The sequence below is a fragment of the Homo sapiens genome, chromosome 10 (genome assembly GCF_000001405.40).
Source record: "Homo sapiens chromosome 10, GRCh38.p14 Primary Assembly".
NCBI lineage: Eukaryota > Metazoa > Chordata > Mammalia > Primates > Hominidae > Homo > Homo sapiens.
The window spans coordinates 131,125,983-131,144,477 of NC_000010.11; the positions used below are offsets into that span (position 1 = coordinate 131,125,983).

General features: G+C 51.0%; 1 protein-coding gene across 2 annotated transcripts in view, besides 5 other annotated features; it reads right to left on the reverse strand.

The window, feature by feature from the left end:
* Positions 1 to 18,495, reverse strand: part of TCERG1L (transcription elongation regulator 1 like) — a 219,331-nt gene that overhangs the window by 33,592 nt on the left and 167,244 nt on the right. For both annotated transcript variants that reach the window (NM_174937.4, XM_047424966.1), the window contains one exon: positions 8,397 to 8,466. In NM_174937.4, the coding sequence (NP_777597.2) occupies positions 8,397 to 8,466 (70 nt within the window). The remainder of the gene's footprint in view (positions 1 to 8,396; positions 8,467 to 18,495) is intronic.
* Positions 722 to 1,377: an enhancer, noted in NCBI's record as "H3K27ac-H3K4me1 hESC enhancer chr10:132924967-132925622 (GRCh37/hg19 assembly coordinates)". NCBI's record gives its function as "activates a minimal SCP1, AML or CMV promoter by ChIP-STARR-seq in naive H9 embryonic stem cells {active_cell/tissue: H9 hESC(naive)}" and the evidence as "EXISTENCE:reporter gene assay evidence [ECO:0000049][PMID:30033119]".
* Positions 1,378 to 2,032: an enhancer, noted in NCBI's record as "H3K4me1 hESC enhancer chr10:132925623-132926277 (GRCh37/hg19 assembly coordinates)". NCBI's record gives its function as "activates a minimal SCP1, AML or CMV promoter by ChIP-STARR-seq in naive H9 embryonic stem cells {active_cell/tissue: H9 hESC(naive)}" and the evidence as "EXISTENCE:reporter gene assay evidence [ECO:0000049][PMID:30033119]".
* Positions 9,385 to 10,105: an enhancer, noted in NCBI's record as "H3K27ac-H3K4me1 hESC enhancer chr10:132933630-132934350 (GRCh37/hg19 assembly coordinates)". NCBI's record gives its function as "activates a minimal SCP1, AML or CMV promoter by ChIP-STARR-seq in primed H9 embryonic stem cells {active_cell/tissue: H9 hESC(primed)}" and the evidence as "EXISTENCE:reporter gene assay evidence [ECO:0000049][PMID:30033119]".
* Positions 14,876 to 15,757: an enhancer, noted in NCBI's record as "H3K4me1 hESC enhancer chr10:132939121-132940002 (GRCh37/hg19 assembly coordinates)". NCBI's record gives its function as "activates a minimal SCP1, AML or CMV promoter by ChIP-STARR-seq in naive H9 embryonic stem cells {active_cell/tissue: H9 hESC(naive)}" and the evidence as "EXISTENCE:reporter gene assay evidence [ECO:0000049][PMID:30033119]".
* Positions 17,566 to 18,066: an enhancer, noted in NCBI's record as "H3K4me1 hESC enhancer chr10:132941811-132942311 (GRCh37/hg19 assembly coordinates)". NCBI's record gives its function as "activates a minimal SCP1, AML or CMV promoter by ChIP-STARR-seq in naive H9 embryonic stem cells {active_cell/tissue: H9 hESC(naive)}" and the evidence as "EXISTENCE:reporter gene assay evidence [ECO:0000049][PMID:30033119]".

An 18,495-nucleotide genomic window follows, 5' to 3' on the forward strand; every position in this document is an offset into this window, starting at 1 on the left:
AGGAGCGATCATGAGTTCCCAGCTGGGGTCTGGGCTGCCTGGAATCTCCAGGGACCTGTGCCCCAGCCACAGACTCACTGTTGGCCTTTCCGGCTTGGTCAGCTCCTGACTGCCTAGCACCCCTGCTTCTGCCCTGCTCGCTTCACCTCTTCCGGGAATCACAAACCAATTCCTGGCTCTGCCTAAGGCCAGACAGGCCCTACCGTGGCTGGACAGCTCACTCCCAGTCTTCAGTGTGACCACACTCATCTGTCCCGTGTGCACTTGCTGTCCGTGTAGCTGTGGCACATGGGCCATGCTGGGGAGAGGTGGCAGAATGAGGAGTGATCAGGCCATGGGAGCTGTGGCCTCCTGGACCGTCCACCATGCTGAGAGGCAGGCTCACCAAGGCCTGGGAAGAGCTGAAGTCTCTCCCAGCTGAGGTTTATGAGCCACTCAGAAGGTGAAACACCTGCTGAAAAGGGTTTGCTGGTGGCCTCGTTCTGGCTGGGGGCAGAATCCCAGTGAGCAGCAAGCTCCGGCTCTGAGCCAGCTCTCAGCTGCGGGAGGCAGGGCAGCTATGTGCTGCTAGGCGGCAGCTCTGGCCTGAGCTCCTGCTTTGCGACAGACTCTGCTGGGGACCGTGTTCATCCAGCTTCAGTGCCGGCTGCCAGGCTTCCCCAGCAATTAATTAGGAGGCCCTTGAGCACCTCCCCAGGACATGTTTCTGCACCTGTAACTTGTGCAGTCTCCTCATGTGGGAACTCACGCTGGTGGCTCCAGAGAGGCAGCACCTACCTCCACCCAGGGCAGCACAGACACCAGGCCACGTCCTGTCCTTTGGCAGGTAGTTTTCTGGTAACATTTGCAAAATTACCAAAGCTCTCAACCTGAGATCTTGGTCTCAGAGCTCTCAAAACTCTGGACGGGGCCAGACAAGAGCTGAGGGAGACGGTCAGGGCACCTTGACTTGAGAATTTGGGGCATAGCTGACGAGGCTGATTAATCACTGAAAAAGCAAACCCACAACAACAAACACCTATTTTCTTGTCTCTACTTGCTGCCTCCAGGTGTTGATTTTAGGTAATATTGAAGGAGACACAGCCCAGTCACAGGCATCTCAGGACACAGGATTCTAAGGAATTCTAAGATTTAAAACAAAAACAAACGGCAGGAAACTAAATACCACAAAGGCAGAGGGGAAGTGTTTTTATCTCCCCAGAGTCTAAGCACACCGAATTGTTAGAGAAACAGAACAAAAGGCCCATAGACAACATCTTCACACACTGATGAGTGAAGAACCCCACAGGAGCACCAGTGTGCGTGGGCAACTCCAGGCCAAACCCTGACAGAGACAGAGACTGAGGCACGTCCCAGGCCCCAAGCACCAGCCAGCCCGTGACCCTGTCATGAGCAGCATTCCCAGGCCAGGAGGCAGCCCCCGGGCCTCTGCGGCTAAGAGGCTGATGGGAAGCAGAGGCAGACGTGAGCAGAAGCCTTCTGGGGTCCAAACCTCGGAGAAGCCCAGGTGGCCCAGGAAGTTCGAAAGGGCAGGGCCTGGGAGTATCTCATGCCAGATAAAACTGGGCCCTAAACACAGACTGGTGAGCTCAGTATAGCAGCTGCCTCAACAGACAGAGATGCCAGGGAATGGAGGGGCAGGTTCAGATAGAGTGCAATGCAGAGCGAAGGGACAGGTCCCTAAAACACAGCCCCCCGTCACAATCACAGACTCTAGGAGGGAGTCCCGGAACCACAGACCTGGAGACAGGTCCCCCAAAGACACAGCCCGTGTCACAACAGCAGACTCTAGGATGGAGTCCCAGAGCCACAGACCTGGCACGCTGCCCGGGGCCACTGCTCTTGTCACCGTCTCATCTAAACAGGGATGACAGAGAACCACCACGGTCCCAGCCCACATACCACTACCAAGACCACTACCAAGAGGGACAGATGCTCAGAGAAACACCCCCAGGTGGCAGAGGAACCACAGGGAAGCATACCCAGACATTGAATGACAATTCAGCTGACTATTCAAAAAGAAGCTAAATAGTAAAAGAAAAAAATAGATGTTATAAAATATCAGCATATGTCTTATTTTAAAATGAGTAAAAAAGAATATTGGTCAAAGTAAAGACTTGAAAAACAGTCTGAGAAAATCTGGGAAATAATTAGAAATGAAAGGGAAAAAGTGGAAATGAAGAATAAACTAGAATGAACCCAAGAGTGAATAAATGTCATAAATGATGTCATAGAAGGAATAGAAAGTGGGAAGGGAAGAGGAAATCCAGAAAGAGCATAATGACGAAGCGTCAACAGCGTGCAAAGGAGGCGACCCAGGAGGAAGCCGAGGGAGAACCAAACAGTTCACAGGTGACTCCAAGCCACGAAACAGAACAGACATGAAAGCAATTCAAGAAAATGCCCTTACAGAAGAAAGGCCTCCACCTACATTTTTGTAAGATACACCTCATATCTGGGAAAACGAACCAAGAATCACCAAGATTTAGTTCTATCATTGTCTTCTAAAGGATAAAGATAGTAACTAAAATCGACTAAAACATCAGCTGTGTTTACATCCAATTCACAGTAAGTTGGTCACCTTTCGAGGATACTGGGGAACCGATGCAGTATTTTGGAAATTGATATTTAAAGGAAAGAATCAAGTGTTTATTGTGTGTTTTCAGTTTAAACGATACCTTGAGGGAGCCAATAGTTTATGAGGGTGAGTTTCTCTTTATAAAAGTAGGCAAGCTAGTAAATGTGAATAAAATGGCAGAATTAAGAGATTAGCACTTAGCAATCTCTAAGGAAGTCGTAGATCAAGATAGATCATCTGCTTGCATCACGAAAAGACAGACGAGCCGACATCACCTGCTTCCTCATGGAAGGAACTCAAAGCCACCATTAGTCCTGCCAGAGCACTAATCAAACCTGACCCTGATAAAGCTCGGCTCTGACGGCAGATTTACCAAAAATACAGGGGACAGAAGAACAAGCCCCTAAACCATGCCCCAGGCATGATCTATGTCCAAACCATGCTCCAGGAATGCGATGATCTATGTCCAAATGATGGGAAATGCAACATTTGTAAAAAATCTCTTGCTTCTTCAAAAACAAATGAAGAAAATAAAAATGAAGCGTGAAAGGGAAAACATCAGCAGGTTAAAAGAGGCTTAGGAGAGAGAAGCAGAGGGCAATACCTGAAACTGACTTAGTCCTGATATGAAAGCAAACCTCTAAGAGGAAAAAAAAAAGAAAACAGTCAAGGAAATTTAAACCATGGCTGGAAGCCCATTTGATAATGTTAAGGAATTATTTGTTTTTTAAGATGTGACTATGTTACCATGCTTATATTTTAAAATTCCTTATATTGTACTATTATATTCTAGAATATTTACAAGTAAGATTTATATGATGTCGGGGGTTTGTTTCAGACTAATCTAGAGGGGCACTGACCAAAGCAGAAAAACGCTGGCGTTGAGCTGATGCTGGGAAATGAATGCGTGGAGGCGAACTGTGTTATTCCAGCTTTTATGTTGAGCTTTTCCATAATAAAAAGTTATAAGTAGGTAAAATAACAATTACTCCTTAATTGGGTATGTTTGTTTTTTCATATATTTGTAGAGCCTTTTCAACCCAGTGTCAGGCAGCTAAGCACACACTGGACCATCTTACGCCACCTATCTCTCCTATCACAATGGAACTGTTTGTCTTTGATGGAAATCACTCGTCTCCTGGGACCTTTTGAACTGACCTAACCTGTTGTATTAGTTCATTCTCACACTGCTGTAAAGAACTACCTGAGATTGGGTAATTCATCAAGAAAGGAGGTGTAATTGACTCACAGTTGCGCATGGATCGGGAGGCCTCAGGAAACTTTCAATCTTGGCGGAAGTTGAAGAGGAAGCAAGGCCTGTTTTCCATGGTGGCAGGAGACAGAGTGGATGGGGGAGACTTCCACGAACTTTTAAACCACCAAATCTTGTGAGAACTCATGCACTATCATGAGACCACCATGCAGGAAACTGCCCCCATGATCCAATCGCCTCCCACAAGTCCCCTCCCCTGACACATGCCACTTTCAGGCTGCTGATAAAGACATATCCGAGACTGGGTGATTTATAAAAAAAAAAAAAAAAGGTTGAACGGATTCACAGTTCCACGGTTCTGGGAGGCCTCACAATCACAGTGGAGGTGAAAGACGCATGTTACAAGGCGGCAGGCAAGGAGAGTGTGTGCGTGGGAACTCTCCTTTATAAAACCATCAGATCTTGTGACACTTAGTCACTATCATGAGAACAGGCAGGGAAAGACTGCCCTGGTGATTCAATTACCTCCCACTGGGTCCCTCTCATGACACGTGGCAATTATGGGAGCTATAATTCAAGATGAGACTTGGGTGGGGACACAGCCAAACCATATCACATAGGGATTACAATTCCAGATGAGGGTTAGGTGGACAGCTAGAGGAAAATCACGTCACCTGTGTCCCCCTCATGTGACCATTTCCTCTTTGGCTTCTTCCATCCTGGCTGTCCCCTCAGGGCCCACGCCCCTGTGTCCCTCTGCCTGTCATCCTGTGATCTGCTCTGACCCTCTCTTCCTCCTCGTTCAAGTTGAGCATTTCTTACCACAGAAGTGATGATCACGCTGAAGAGTTAACCTGTCATTTCTCATAATACAGAACAAATACGTTCTCTTACGGGAGAGGAAACTACCTGAGATTGTGATAAATTTATACCTCCAAGTAGTGATACAGTGAGCCAAATATCTGACAACCAGCCTTGTGGAGAAAGTACTGAGTTTTGGGGGAAACTGACTCCCCCACTGATCAGTGGTGGGGGAGTCACTGACTAATGGACTAATACAACATGTTAGGTCAGTTCAGTGGCGGAGTCACTGACTCCCCCAGTGATCTCTGCATCCCTGCAGGGACGGGCATCAACCCCCCGGCAAACCCTAATGACACCATAAATATGGGGTAACTGAATTATATGAAAAGAGTACTGAAAACATGCCCACCTTCTGGAGAGGAAGCAAATTGGTGGGGCATTCCCGTGAGCACCCACGCAAGCTACACTGTGCATTTCACAAGCCCTGGGCCACAGCCGCACAAAACAATCTGATGACTTAAGAAAATATATTTCCACTTCAAAACACTGCAGCAATTCCAGAAATCACAGGTGTGATTCGAGCCGCGGTGTCCAGGTTTCTGATGCTCAGGCGTTCATTCTTGGGAGAAGGCGGGAGGCAACTGCAGTGATACCACTCAGCAGAGACCACCACCCTGCACACGTGAGGTCAGAGGGATAGGAGGGAGGGAACTGTTCACGGGAATGCTCCCCAGAGCCCATTTGAAAGAGTTATAAAGTCAGAAGACCAAAGATCAAAGCAGGTCTGAACTATGAAAAGACCCATTCATCAGAAACTGGCAGCACCTCCAGGCCCTGAGCAGAAAGGGGCCGAGCGGTCATGAATCTATTTTCCAGGCCCAGGGAAGATGCATCGTCTTCGCCAATGCATCCCTCTAAATAGTAAATAACAAGCTATTTGAAGTGACACTCACCACGTAGATTAGAATATTTCAGTAATTTGAATGCTTGTCATTGTGACATATTTCTCCTCCGAGAGAATTTCAGGAAAAGTTTCATGTGGACCTGAATCACTGTCACAATCGATTTAATTCCATCTGTGCATGAGTGCCCAAAATGTGTATCGATTATGCCAGGGTTCACAAGAAATGTGGGGAGTAGATGCCGGTGTCCAAAACAATCATCATCACAGCTTATTTGCTTGTTTCTTAAACAACATAATCAGGCTGCTGATGAGTCACACATTGCAGGAGAATTTTAAATGCTCTTTGATGAGGCAAAATTACGCTATCCACACAAAAAGCGCAGGTCCAAATGAACAGATTTCAGCAGGCCCCCTGGAGGCATGTTCTCTAACTATCTGGGCCAGATTCTGCGACATAGAAATACATAAAAGCAGCTAGGAGCTTGAGGAGTACATGGACTTATTGACAATAACCTTCCCAAAGAGGGATCAAAATGCCATGTTGATGCTGATGGTTCACCTGGCCTGGGGCGATTCGCTCTGAGCAGGAGGCGTGCAGGTTGGTGCTTCGGAAGAGCTTTGGGAAAACCTGCCCTATGGTGAAGCTTCCAAACAGAGGGCATGGCTTTGTAAACCGGCTCATGAATGAATGCGCAGGACGGGATGGGCGTGCTCAGTCCTCGGGCTGACTGCAGAACAAACGCCAAAGCATTTCCTCTCAGATCTGAGGGGGCCCCAGCCTCCCCGAGAGTCTTCCTCTCCCACGGAATCTTCAAGGCTGGAACCAACATGGAAATGAACAGCTGCCAAAACGGAGGCAGCTCCATGCAAAACATCCGTGCATGTTTCAAAGTTGGTTTTCAGTGACGGAAGTCATTCAGATGATTAAAACTAAAATTAGCGTTTCAATGTTGTTGAAATGCCAACTGTTGGGAACTGAGGCCAGTCCCACGGGATGGGAGTGCAGCCGGGTGATGAGGCGGACAGCCCAGCTGCTTCGGATCCCGCCTCCCACACAAGTTCAAAATTCATCAAATCATGGCCACATTCCACGTTTCCTGTGCCTCAGGAAGCTCATCTTGTGTTTTCAATTTAGCACACATATCCAAAGATCAGCAGAGACCAGCTTAGCTGAGGTCCACGTGTGACGGTGAAATCAGAGAGGCTGCACTGGGCTCTTTCCTGGAGCCCTTGGCCCCCGTCAGAGGTGCTCCTTGTCCATCCCCTGTGGCCCACACAGCATCCTTTGGCCCCCAAAAGTGACTTTCTAAGGAGGAGATTTGGGGTAGCAAGAAGACAGCTGCCCAGGAGATTGTGGGTGGGAGGCGTCCTCCCTCCACAGCCAGTGAGCCTCTGCCCTGCCACGTGCGGCCCTAGACCTCCCCACATAGTGGCTCACAGGCTTCCACGTGCTGTGGGGCCAGGCGGCAGGAGCACTGGGGGAGAAGAGCCCTTTACCTCCTACCTGATCACCTCGCTGGCTTGGGGAAGACACTGTTATTCTTCTTTGCATTGTTTCTGAAAGTTCTGTGGTGTCTGCCTATTATCGAACCACTCAGGTCTAGTTCTACGTGTTTTGTTCATGGCTCCATCGGCACCCAGCAGAGAGAAGAGTCTGCCCTGACCGCCCTGGCTGCTGGGCCTGCTAGGTACCCTCAAGCCCAGCTCTTGCTCCCTCTTCCCCTCTCTTCCTTACCATCCTTCTGTCCTTTGCTAAAAAGTCAAAAGGACTGAAAATGTGAGAATGCACACTGGCTCTGAGTCAAGATTTTGTTTTCCCTTCATTGTGGCAAATACTTTTTATTGCAAAAGTACATTTTTTAAAAGAGAAAACGCATACGACACTGAGATTCCTGACCACTTCATTTGGGTTCCTGTTGCAGGCCTAGGGTATCCCATGAGCAGGGCTGATGCAGGAGCCTGGTGCAGGATGAACGCACCTGTGGGCTGTGGCAGGACCCAGGGTCCAGCGGAACGTCCAGGCATCATGGGACCAATAACAGCCCAGCTCAGGAAGAGCCTGGGAAGCGTCCCTTATTGATTTGCCTTTCAGGGTCCTCCCCACCCTTCTCTACCAAACATGGGGCCCAGCAGCCACAACATTCCTTCCGTCTCCCTGTTCTGGGGAACTTAAACACACACTTCCACATTCACCCCCTTATCTGAAACTCACAGGCAAGGCAGGGCAGACCAGCAGCCACACAGGAGGGGTTAAAGGGCAGGAGCCAACCCCCAACTTGATGGAAAACAGGGATTCCCTACCTCGGTGCATGGCAACTCCCAAAATCAAACCGTGACCAGCGACTTGGAAGGAGAGCTTCCCACTGGCTGTGTGCACCCTGCAGGAATGCAGGCATCATCTCCTCCACCTGTCCCAACACCCACTGGGGCCTCTGCAAAGCCTCATCTTATACATGAGAAATCTGAGATCAGGGTTGGCTGACTTTGCCCAAAGTCATCCAGCAGGCAAGACATAGAGCTGCAGCACCAAGCCAGGGCTGCCTGACCCCTAAACTCAACCTCTGACACAGCACATGGCACCTCCTATGCACCTGGCCCCCATGACCACTCCTACAGGACTCTGGAAACACAGCAGGGCTGAGCATGTGGGCGCCTGGGTAGGCTGGGGGTGGCAGGCCCTGTGTACAGTGTCTGAAGTGCCCCAAGCCTCCGAGATACCTGCTTCGGCAGGTGCCCAGGACACTGCTAAGACAGAACCTGAAACCTCTTACCATCTGTCTAGCGGTTGAATTAGCTCTTTGCTCATAGTCAATGTGGTCAAAATGATGCCTTTTCTTTCTACACCACCTGAGTACACAGTAGGGAAAGATCTGCTGGGGAAGAGCACGGCCACCTACCGGTTCCTCTTGGTTTTCACATCTTGGTCTTCCCTGTTGTCTTCAGAACTGGACCCATCGCTGTTGTCAGCTGAAAGAAAATCAGATGAACAGGGTTAGAGTTGTCAGAGCTCAGGGCTTTGGCAAAACCACCAGGTGACACTCACTTTCAAGTAGACTTATCTAGAAATTAAGACAACAGGCTTCTCTTAAAGATTGATGTGAAATCCTACGAGTTTCCTCTTGGCACACATGCTTTTACATTTCAGCAGAACAGAAATCTGACTGTGCTGTTCTGCAGAGAGGTCCTCTTTAGAGACTGTCTGTTTAGCAGGTGCTGGGCCTTCCAGAGGGGCTGGGGGGTGGAGAATTACAGGTGGGCCTCTGCTCAGCCTCAAGACGAGGCCTGGGAATGAGCAAATCTATGTCATGTTCTTGAGAGGGAACCATGAGACCGGGGCCACCTCTGCGGCCACTGCCCCAGGGAAGGGTGGCCCCCAGCAGCACCTCCAACAGGCCCACGCTCAGCTCCTCTCCATCCACTGCAACAGATAACGAGATTCCCCTACCCCACATGTGGCCATGCCTCACTATGGACGCCCATCTACTTCCAAAAGCCAAATTGATTTTGAAGACATGATCCCTTATTTCCATTCTGAGGCAGTCAGCCCTGAAAACGTTTGATGAACTTTTGGAATGAAAAAGTAAAAAGGTGCTTTGGTGTTTCCTGTGGTTCTCCAGGAGGGAAGAGGAAAGATAAGCGTGCAGATGGTCTGGAGTGTCATCCAGACCAAAAATTTTTGTATTTTTGGTAGAGAAGCATCACCTGCTTCTCATTCTGTGTCTACCTCTGGCTTATTCCGCCCCGCCCAGCTTGGGTGGCCAACTGAGCTGGGCTGGGCTAGGCTGAACTAGTCTGGGCTGGGCAGAGCTTCCCTCCATCTTCCCATCCAGCCTTGGGCCACCTTCCCAGTGACCGCTGAGCCTGCACCTCCTTCCTGGGAGGGTCTGCGATGAAAACAGCGCTCAGCTCAGGATGAGCCCAGAGTTGATGAGAAAAGACATCAGTTTCAACAATCGCAGGGGCCTCTGCACATTTTCTTTCTATAAAACCCGACAATTCTCCCTACACCTGTTTTTAGAATCCCAATAATGGCTCTGTTACCAGCTCACAGTTCAAATCTATTTACAGGCTTCTTTTCAATGTGCAGCGTGGGGCCCTTGGTAAGAGGAGAGGGTCAGGCTCTGGAAGCCCCGGCTCATCCCAGTCATGCTGCATCATCCTTGTGGGGCCTCCGCCACCTGAGCTGCCCAGGCAGCTCATGGTCACCCCTGCCCACGAGCCACAGGACCACAGAGGCTGCTGTAGCGGGACCGGGGTGCAATGTATCTGCCCTGTACCTTCCAGCAAGGCTGCAGTATCCATCATGCACACCCTGTGTGGGTGCTCCACCCTTCTGAAAGGATGTAGGCCTAGGAGGAAGGAATTCCCATGGGCAGTGCAGAGCGGGGGATGAGCAGAACTTGGCCCCGGAAGGGCGGAGGAGCCACAGCCCGGGCGGAGCTTCCTGGCTTTTCAGCGGCCCCTGGTCCTGAACCTGGCAGTGCTGACTCCGGAGCTGGACTGCTGTGCCCTGGGGGCCGCCCTGTGCCCTGAAGGCGTCTCTCAGCCTCCTTGATCCCTGCCCCCTCCCCACCATGCTAACGAAAATGCCTCCAGAAGTTCCCAAATGTCCACAGGGGTAAATTTGCCCTCCCCAGTTGAGAGCCACTGGTCTAGAGCCAACACCATTGATAATAACTGGGGGGCCATGGAAGGGAAGAGAGGACACTGGAGGGTATCCACTTCCTCCTCTCTGGCTGCCTTCTGCGCGTGCTCCACAGCCCAACACAGCCCTCCAGGCTGGGACCCCAAAGGACACACTTTATGCCCCCTGCTTCCCAAGCTTCACTCGTGCCAAGCCCAGCACCTCCAGGCATTTCTGGTTTTTTTTGAGACGGAGTCTCGCTCTGCCCAGCTTCAGGACGAGGGCCTGGGGTGAGCACTTCTACGTCATGTTCTTGAGAGGAAACCATGAGACTGGGGCCACCTCCGTGGCTGCTGCCCCAGGGAGGGGTGGCCCCCAGCAGTGCCTCGCCCAGGCCCGCCCTCAGAGGCTCTCCATGTTCAGCCTGTCACCCAGGCTGGAGTACAGTGGTGCGATCTCGGCTCACTGCAACCTCCACTTTCCGGGCTCAAGCAATTCTCCTGCCTCAGCCTCCCGAGCAGCTGGAATCACAGGCACCCGCCACCACACCAGGCTAATTTTTGTGTTTTTAGTAGAGACAGGGTTTTACCATGTTGGCCAGGTTGGTCTTGAACTCCTGACCCCAAGTGATTCGCCCCCCTCAGCCTTCCATAATGCTGGGATTACAGGCGTGAGCCACCATGCCGGGCCACCTCCAGGCATTTCTACTTCCTGGCTGTGGGAACCTGCTCTTCCCATTCAAACTGAGGGCACTGGGCAGGCACAGTGGCTCACGCCTGTAATCCCAGCACTTTGGGAGGCAGAGGTGGGTGGATCATGAGGTCAGGAGTTCGAGACCAGCCTGGCCAACATGGTGAAACCTCGTTTCTACTAAAAATATAAAAATTAGCCGGGTGTGGTGGCAGGTGCCTATAATCCCAGCTACTCAGGAGGCTGAGGCAGGAGAATCACTTGAAAACAGAAGGCAGAGGTTGCAGTGAGCCGCGATTGTGCCACTGCACTCCAGCCTGGGTGAAAGATCAAAACTCTGTCTCAAAAAACAACAAACAAACAAACAAACAAAAAACCGAGGGCACCCTGGGCACCCTGCTCCCTGCCTCAGCCTCTCCACCCCAACACCCTCTAAGGAAGTGCAGTACTCCTCGGCTGTGCCCCTGAGTCCTCTCCCGCTGGGGCGCTGGGTCCCGAGCTCTCACTGTGCCCTCCCGGTTTTCCCTCCCTGGTGCCCTGGCTTCTCCCTGGTCCCTCCTGGTCGTTCCTCCCTGCGTCACTGGGCCTTCTGGCCGTCTCATTCGGAGGCACCGGGGCCTCACAGAGGCTCTCTCAACTCCCCGGGCCCTCCGCCTGACTGCCTTTCTGCACCTCGTGGCGTTTGAAATCTTTTCCAAGGTGTGCCTCCTGCCTGCCGTGTCCAGGGGAGGGAGCATTCCAGCTCTGCCTGGAAGAAGGCATGGGAGTGGCACCTCTCCTCCACCCACACCAGAACGTACCCAGGGAGGCCACGGGGGAAACATCCACATTTCTTAAAACTTAAAAAATGAGGTCATGCAATTACACACATATTATTTAAAGTACATGTGTATAATATTGGTAATTTTTTAGGGTTTTAAACATTGGTTTGTTTTGAATAGTTTCAACATGGGCAAAGCTTTCCTAATTATGATCCAGACTCATAAACAAAAATATGTATAAATTTAACAGACTTAGAGAATACAAAACCAGAGGGGTTGCCGTGCACAACGGCAGCATAGCAAGCTCTCTGGTTGGGTCTCCACCAAGACTGCCGTCAAGCTGTAGGGGGATTAGAAGTAAGTATTTCAGCTCTCTGGAAGCAGATCAGACACTTACAACAGCTAGGGCTGGTGTAACAATCATGCTAGAGGCTGAGTGCGATGGCTTATGTCTGTAATCCCAGCACTTTGGGACGCAGAGGTGGGCAGATCACCTGAGGTCAGGAGTTCGAGACCAGCCTGGCCAACATGGTGAAACCCCGTCTCTACCAAAAATACAAAAATTAGCCGGGTGTGGTGGCACATGTCTGTAATCTCAGCTACTCAGGAGGCTGAGGCAGGAGAATTTTTTGAACCCGGGAGAGTTCAATTTTTTGAACTCTGTAGTCAGCCAAGATGGCGCCACTGCACTCCAGCCTGTGTGACAGAGTGAAACTCTGTCTCAAATAATAATACCGAAAAATAAAGAATAGCACTAGAGAGGCTGCCATTCTCTGCTGACTGCAAAGACAAGGGAACAGAATCTTCAGTCACCACACACGGTGAGGAATACAGGCTTCAGGGGCATCACACATGGATGGCTCCAGCCTGCACAAGCCCACATCAGCGATCTCTGGGAAGTGAGAGAATCTGATTTCCACCAAAGTTGCCCCATTACAATGCCTAGCATATCTACTTTTCAACAAAAAACTCAAAAGCATGCAAAACCAGGAAAGTAGGGCCAATTCATCTGATAAAAGATATTTGATAGAAATCATCCCTGAAGAAGTCCATGTGTAAAAATTAATGCAAACGGAGTTAACTGTACAAGTTACAAGTATAAGGGTTGTTGAAGAAAACATAAGGGGAAAATCGTTGTGACACTGCTTCATCATTGCAGAGTTTCTGCTATGGGTGAGAAAAGAGTTGTAGAAATAGGTAGTGTTGACAGCTCTCCAACATTGTGAACATACTGAACGCCACTGAATTGTACATTTACACATGGTTAAACGGTCAGCTTCATGTTATATATATTTTACCACAGTGAGAAAAAAAATCAAGGACAACTTGTTCTATGGCAAAAAAATCGAAAGACCAGTAAAATATTATAATAATATTGTAGCCAAACACTGTTAGCCTTGATCTTCAAGTCCAAGTAACTCAATAAGAAAGATAAGGAACACAAACACAAAACAAATGGCCAGCAAACCTGTGAAAAACTGTTCAATTTCACTCAAAATTAAAGCAATGCCAACTGAAGCAAAGAATGGCTTTAAGAATTAAGTCTCATGCTCTACAGTGCTAAGGAGATCATGCAGAATCTACCAGTACAAGTGTGAACTGATCAGTCTCTTTGGGAGAAGATTCGGCAGTACCTGCCCAAAATCGAAAATGCACGTACCTTTTGAGCCAACAATTCTAATAATGTGAAATTACACAATCGATATGTTTGCAGAAACACTCCTAAGGTAAAAACCTAGGTACAAAGATGTTCTTTCCAGCACTGTGTGTGGGAGCACAAAGCACATGACCCAGATGTCCATCCAAGAGGAGGCTCTGAGGAAGTCATCATGCATCCAGACAGGGCAAGGGTAGGGGGACAGGAGATGGATAGGAGAGAAAAGCAGGGGATTGGAGGGAGAGGGAACTGGGTGCGGGAGGCAGGGAGGCTCTGAGTCTGAAAGATAGCCAAGACGCATTACAGGTGCGGTGCAGACAGCGTGCAGCAGCATGTCAATCTCTAACATGTTTGTGCAGCAGCATGTCAATCTCTAACATGTTTTATTAATGCACACACACCAATATCTATGTATGTTTTAAATGTATTGTTTTTTATGCATTTGCCAGCAAGGCTATGCATATGTGTGTGTGTGTCTGTGTGTGTGTGTGTGTGTGTCTGTGTGTATGTGTGCCTGTGTATGTGTCTGTATGTGTACATGTGTGTTTCTGTATGTATATGTGTGTCTGTGTGTGCTTGTGTGTCTGTGTGCGTATATGTGTGTGTATGTGTATGCATCTGTGTGTGTCTCTGTGTATGTGTCTGTGCGTGTATATATGCATTTGTGTGTGTGTCTGAGTGTGTTTGTAAGTCACTGAGTTCAGGGAATGTGGCTGGCTGCATCAGGTAGTAAAAGTCCTGAGTCTCTGAGTCAAATGTCTTCCTTTCTGTGAGTGGTGGGGAATATACCTAATTTTGTCAGTCTTCTTAGAGAGGGTAGGCACAACCTTTGGTAAAACTTACTATGGAATCACAGGAGCTGAATGTTGGTGTGTAAGGCAAATTCGCATTCAGATGGGATCCTAGGCACGCCTAAACTTCCCACTCATCACATTTCTCTCATACGCAGAATGCACCCTACGAATACAGAGAGGTCCAGTTTTGGTACCTGTGGGTGCCTGGCTGGACCTGCTGGTGGACCCAGCCCCTGCACAGCCAGGCCTCTCACCTCCGGTGCAGGTGATACCCCCACCCCTGCTCCTGGCAGGAGCTCAGCCCCACAGGACCCTGCTGCCCAGTGGCCCTGAGCTGTGTGCTCTGCCCTCTCTGATGGGGCCTCCTGCTCCGCATCCTGTCCGATGTCCTACCCTACTCGCTCGGATCCTGAGTCCTGAGGAGGATGGGGCTTGGTAGGTTAGAAGGTAGTGTCATCCTCCCTCCCCAGAACAGTTGCACTCAACCCTGTGAGTTGGATGTGAACCCCAGGTCACGCCTTAACCTCAGGTCCCCCCCATCTAGGCAGCACTCAGGCTCAGCATCTTTGTGGAGAAGTCAGTGTTCTCCCAGGACTGTGGCTTTCCTGGGCACGAAGAGGGGCACAGTGGGGGGTCCTCCTGCACGGGCCAAGACCCCAGAGAGCACCTTGCAGGGACTGGGCCAGAACTCATCCACAGGCAGGCAGCGGTGCGAGGGATGCCCAGGAGGCAAACAAGGGCGGGCACCAGGACGAGATGGAGAGCCGGAGCCCTTGGTGGAGAGGGCAAGGCACATGACTCAGGGCAGCAGGGTCCTGTGGGCTGAGCTCCTGCCAGGAGAGGTGGTGGAGGTGCCGCCTGCACTGGAGGGCAAGAGGCCTGGCTGTGCAGGGGCCGGGTTTGATCCACCCCACTCCACCAACAGGTCCAGCCAGGTGCTCACAGATGCTGAAACTGGACTTCTCTGTATTCCTAGATTGCATCCTGCTTATGAGAGAAATTTGATGGGTGTGGAGTTTAGGGATAGAAAGAGCCGCAGCAGAGCTGCAACTACCCCGAATAGGAGATGGACCTGACACGGCCACTTTGCTTTGCTAGGCCTGGGCTCCCAGCTGAAACTCAGGGAGGAAGTTCTAGATTTGGTCAATAATCATAATGGGGAACCTCTCCGTGGCCACTTGGAAATGCCACACCACGGGTGCTGTGATCTCTGCAGGGCTTCCCCGAGCCTTCCACTCTTTGAGGCTCACTGTCCCCAGACAGCCATCCTCCATCCCTCTCAGCTCAGACTCAAGCGCACCTTCTTCCTCCTGCCTTAGAGCTCAAAACACACCCTTTACCTCCCCTCCCTGCCTCCTGGGGTCCAGTGTGAGTGACCGTGCCTCAGGGAGAAGCCCCTGGCTGCTGCGCGGGGTCACCCCACTCCACCCATCCATTGTTGCTTGCTTCTCTTCCCCAACCCACAAGGCATAGCGCTCCCTGCCCAACATCTGCTCATCTTTGGCGTCCTGTGTCTAGCCCAGTGCTTGGCCAGTCACCAGTCCCTAAATAAAGGATTGGTTCAGAAGAAAAGGAACTTCCTCTCCTCCCTCCCTTCCCTTGCTCCCTCCCTTCTCTCCTTTCCTTTCCTCCTTTCCAACTTCCCCTCCCTCCTTTCCAACTTCCCCTCCCTTCCCTTTCTTTCCTTTGCTCCTGGCCCTGGAGGTGGTTGGTGGCTTGATGTCTTAGGTCCTGGCGGAAACTACTCCGAAAAACGCTATTCTAGCATCTCTCTTTCTCCACCAAATTCACTGGTGCATCCAGGAGCCTGGCTCAGCCCCTGCCCTGCCCACCCAGCCTCCCAGCTGAGGCCAAACACAGCAAGCTGAGGGGTGAGTGTGATCAGAGTGTCCTAGAGACTCTCCCAGCTCCCGCACATCCCAGCTCACCCCTTCCCTTGCACCGGCTGCCCTGCAAGCTCCACCCTCACACTCGACTTTCTGCACAGTCAACTCAGGATTCTGCAAGGAAGAGACACCTGTCGCAGTTCACCTGCTTCACCTTGGCATCACGTTACAGAGACTAAACAAAGTGGGCACTACAATGGAGCTTAGCAAACAAGCCACCTGGATCATTCATTGTGCAAAGAGGCGGCTCAGGCCCTGGAGGCCAGCAGAGGGTGCCATGATACGAAGGCCAGGATTTCTCCCAGAGAGCCTGGGGCAGGTGGGATCCAGGTGGGCAGAGCCTCCCACATCGCCCTGAATCCTCACAGACAGAACCACACTAGCTCACCACCCTCCAGGGCTCTGGCATTTGTGTTTTCAGCGGCCCTGGGTCCCCCCAAGTGCCCCGGCTGCCTGGGCCCCTGGTGAGATAGATCCAGTGTGCGCTGTCTTCTCTGACAAACTCAGGAAAGTGACCCATTCACCAGTCACAGCTGTGTTTACTCACCGGACAATTTTACATCCTACTTGGTGAAATGAATGTCATTATCAATTTACATTGGTCTTGAATATAAATGGCTAAAGCGTTTACAGAGCAATTAAGCCCAGTGAGGTTCATGTCATCTGCCCGCAGACTAGGGAAGGACAGTGTTGAGTGCACGGCTGCTGCAGCTGCTGCCTGGTGAGCTCGCACCAAGAGTCACCTGTGTCCATCACAGGCTGCCCTCAGGTCTGGCATCAGACCCGCCGGGGTGCAAATCCCCATTCCCCTTCAGTAGAGGTGTGGCCCTGGGCAAGTCAGATAAGCTCCTTTTTAAATTCCCTCTTCTGTAAAGCAGGCACGGGCCACAGATTCATGCCCCCCACCATTCCCAAGCAATGTCCACATCTGAATCCTGGAAGGTGTGCATACACTGGACTACCTGGCAGAAAGGATGGAGGTTGCTAAACAGCTCCCCTTGAGGTGAGAGACCATCCTGTCATCCAGGTGGCCCCATAGACCACAGGGACCCTTCAGAGTGGGAGCGGGAGGCAGAAGGGCCAGAGCCAGAGAGAGAAGAGAGAGAGGCAAGATGGACGAGGGGGCCAGGAGTCAAGGAAATCTCCCCTGGATCCCCTAGGAAGAACACAGCCCTGCCGATGCCAGTGAGGCCTCTGCTCGACGTCTGCCCTCCAGAACTGTAAGATCATCACCTTGTGTGGCTTTTAGCCTCGTGGTGATAATTTGTTACAGCAGCAAAGGGGTCTCCAATGCTGATGGCACCTACTGCATGGGACTGAGGAGGGAAGTCCACGGAACCAAGTGTGGGGGTTGCACGCACCCAGGGTCCCTGCAGGCGGTCCCTCCCCTCTCCAAGGCAGTGAGAAGGCCCTCTCTTCACTTCTTACCCCAGGGCTCCGGGTCCTCCTCGACCCCTTGGAGGCACTAACAGAGACAGCCAGGCAGGAGGAAAGAGGCCAGGGTATGTATTCCCTCTCTCTCCCTCGCCTCTCCTCCCTCCAACCCAGAGGAAGAACTCGAGGGCCCCAGCTCCAACAATTCCCACCAGGCTGCACCAAATGTCCCAGTGAAGTGACAGGTGGCCCCCGTGGCCAAAGCAAGCAGAGCGGGCCAAGGTGGTGGGGCTACAGGTGCACAGCCAGATGGCAGGGGGGTTTCTGCCGTCACTACCAAGAGAGGGTTTGGCTGCTGCAGGCGAAGACAGCGAGAGAACCACGCCTCTGACAGGCCTGGGAAACGCGGGCACGGGTGGGAACACAACACACCAGCACCCTCCAAACTGAAGTGTTGGTAAGATCCCCGAGAACCGCATGGCACGGAACGGATGGGGCTGGGGGTGAAGCCTGGCACTTCTCATTTTCCTCCAGCTCTACTGGCATTTATTCTCAACTAACAACACAGTTACTACAGCTATAAAAAATCTGGATGCACCGCAAGGTAATTAGAAAATAATTCAAGACTTTGCTGGAATCCTTCAGCAGTGCTAACAGAATGACAAAGCGGACTCTTTCCTTATCTGTGGAATGACGAACGTCTCAGCACTTCTGGAGGCGCTGCCTCCTGTCTCCCACAGCTGCCTGGCACTGTGAGCCACAACTTCCACGTCTCCTATCCCCACTGAAGACACACGCACACGCAGGCACACACGCTCACACATACACACACGCTCCCGAGACCTAAGAGCAGTTAAATGTGGCAGCCATGTTACAAAATTCTTCTACTTCATTTGCCTCTTGAAAAATAATGGATGTCGACTGAAATGCTTAATTGTCCCATTGCAGACTACAAATAGGTATGAATATATTCAAATCTACAATGACTAATAGTCAAACAAAATGTGAAAAACAAAACTCTCCACTCAAACCATCTCCCCTAGGCTTGTTATCATAATTAGGGTTAAATATCTGACGAGCCGCGACGAACGATCGGCCAGGGAGAATGCCAGTCACTGCTGCTGGTTGCAGGTCATCAGCTCTGCTCCCCGATCACGAATTAACCCTCTAGAAACACCTCCTGTCCTAATTGTGTCGCTGCGAAGCTCTC